This window comes from Homo sapiens, chromosome 12 (assembly GCF_000001405.40).
Source record: "Homo sapiens chromosome 12, GRCh38.p14 Primary Assembly".
Lineage (NCBI taxonomy): Eukaryota > Metazoa > Chordata > Mammalia > Primates > Hominidae > Homo > Homo sapiens.
In genome coordinates, this window is record NC_000012.12 from 86,977,990 (window position 1) to 86,980,867 (window position 2,878).

The window sequence follows — 2,878 nt, forward strand, 5'->3', positions numbered from 1 at the left end:
GCTTAAGATGTCAGACAATCTATGAATGCAATCTTGTAACACAAAGAAAATAAAAATAATTCTTAATTCATTTATTAATCATAGAACAAATGCTGCCTTATGGAGAAAAGTGAAAAGTATAGTTACTTGAATGCCTATTATTTTCCTGACATTATTTATTCAGTAAATGTTTGTTGAGTTTCTACTATTTGCCAAGTTCTGTGTGAAGCATATAGGATATAGCAGTAAAGTGAAGTGGCATGGTCTCTGTTTTTTGGGCTAATAATATAAGACACAAGATATAAAATAAATCAAAATAAGTAACATAGTTCCAATGTAAAGGCAGTAATCATTGTTGCTGGGAAAGAGAGTAAGTGTGAAAGCCATATTATATATGGCAGTTAGGAAAGAACTACCTAGGCCTGCAGTCTGCAGATACATGAAAACAAGGGTAAGTGTTCCATGCATTGTGTTAAGGACTTGTAATGATCAGTTATATGAGTGGACCTCAAGAAGTTTGAGAAAAAAGTTCAATAAACGGATAGAAATTAAAAATATAAACTTTATTTCTCAACATAAGCTCCATCACATTCAAAACACTTTTGTAAGTGATACCAGCCATTTAGTGCATCCCTAAATAACTGAGGGTCCTGAAAATTTAACCATGTCAATGCAGTCTTTTTTACATGATTAACTGAAGGAAAATGGGTGCCCTTTTGAGATTTTTTTTTTTTTTTTTGGATTAGGAAACATAAAGAAGTCAAACATAGCCGAATCTAGAGTTAAAGGTGGATGCCTAATGACTTCCTACCAAAACTCTTGCAAAATTTCCCTTGTTTGATGAAAGGAATGAACAGGAGCATTGTCATGGTGGAGAGGGACTCTCTGGTGAAGCTTTCTCAGGCATTTTTCTGCTATAGTTCTGGCTAACTTTATCAAATCTCATAATAAGCAGATGTTATTATTCTTTGGCCCTCTAGAAAGTCAATAAGCAAAATACCTCAAGATCCCAAAAAACTATTACTATGGCCTTTCCTCTTCACTGGTCCACTTTGGTTTGAAGAGATAACTTCCACCTCTGGGAAGCCATGGCAATGATTGTGATTTGTCTTTAGGACCATACTGGTAAAGCCATTTCATCTCCTGTTACAGTTCTTTGAAGGAATGCTTTAGGATCTTGATCTCACTTGTTTAACTCAACAGGATTTTCTGTATTGATGGAAATGTTCTATATTTGTCCTGTCCAATACAATATCCACTAGCCACTACTGAGCACTAGAAATATGACTATTACATCTAGAGAGCTAAGTTGTAAATGTTATTTAATTAGAATTAATTTAAATTTTAATATAATAGCCAGATGTGGTTACTGGCTATGTATTCGGCAGCACAGATCATGACTGATGTTACTATATATATACTGTTCCGACCTTAATTGGGCTTTCAATGAAGTCCAGAAACTTGGTAATTTTCTTCTTAACTTTCTCTCTCAATCTTTACTATTTTAGATAAGAGTCAGGCTTCTCCAAGTTCTTTAATCTTATTCTCTACCTTCTTTCTCACTTTCATTAAATGACTGACTTTTTAACACACAATATACTCCATTAAGCTACTGTCACAAACACCGTGAACTTACTGCAAACACACCAATCATTTTCTGTTACCATCCAGTCACAATGAATAAAATGTCACTAATCTTCTAAAAAAAATAATTATTCCGGCCGGGCACGGTGGCTCACGCCTGTAATCCAGCACTTTGGGATGCCGAGGTGGGCAGATCACAAGGTCAGGAGTTTGAGACTAGCCTGGCCAGTATGGTGAAACCCCATCACTACTAAGAATAAAAAAATTAGCTGAGCATAGCGGCACACGCCTGTAGTTCCAGCTACTCAGGAGGCTGAGGCAAGAGAATCACCTGAACCTGGGAGGCGGAGGTTGCAGTGAGCCGAAATTGCGCCACTGCACTCTAGCCTGGGCGACAGAGAGAGACTCCATCTCAAAAATAAATAAATAAATAAATTATTATTATTTCAAATATGGTCTGGGGTGTTTGAATATTTATTATTATTAGTTAGTCCCCCTCTCCCTATATCTTTAATTTATTCTTTTATTCTAGATCATTTCTCTAATATTTTAATATGCCCAATTTCCTTGAGAATTTTTTCTCACTCTACCTCACATTGCACACTAACTAACATTCATTCTTGTATTAAAACACACAGTCAAAACCTACATGATAAATCATCTGTTAATAAAAATCAATATTTTTCAATCCTTATCCTATAAAAGTGAGATTTTTGACATAATACCAGAACTTTCTCCACCTTCTGGTCTTCTTCTCAATCTCCTTTTCAAAATCTCTTTCCTATGTTTATCCATTAAATATTCCTCAGGCCACTTTATTAACTCTCGCCTCCTCAGACCCTTAGCCATCTCCCTGAGCTTCAAGTAATGATTCCCAGCTCATGGCAGACAGATGCACTACACAAATTTCTTTCCACAGACAGACTCGTGCCCCACCGTTGGGGAAGGAACTTGTAAGCTAGCTTTCAGCACGCAGTAGCTTCAGGGTCTGTATCAGCTGCAGAGAACAAACTCCCCTGATGTTATATCATAGGTAATCCTTGCTGCAGCATTCCGTACCAAGTAGGCTGAAGCCTCCTTAGGCCTGTGTAACGGTTTAGCAGTTTCTTCTGTCTAGTTCTACTTCTTCCACATACACAAATATAGGTGGGTGCAAAAGTAGCTGCGGTTTTTGCAATTACTTTTAATGGGGAAACTGCAATTAATTTTGCACCAATCTAATAGATACAAGATGTAATGGAAGAGAAAAACAATTTAAAAGAGTAAGAAAAATATAAAATGCTGGGGATTTGATTTTTTTTAATGCAACATCTCT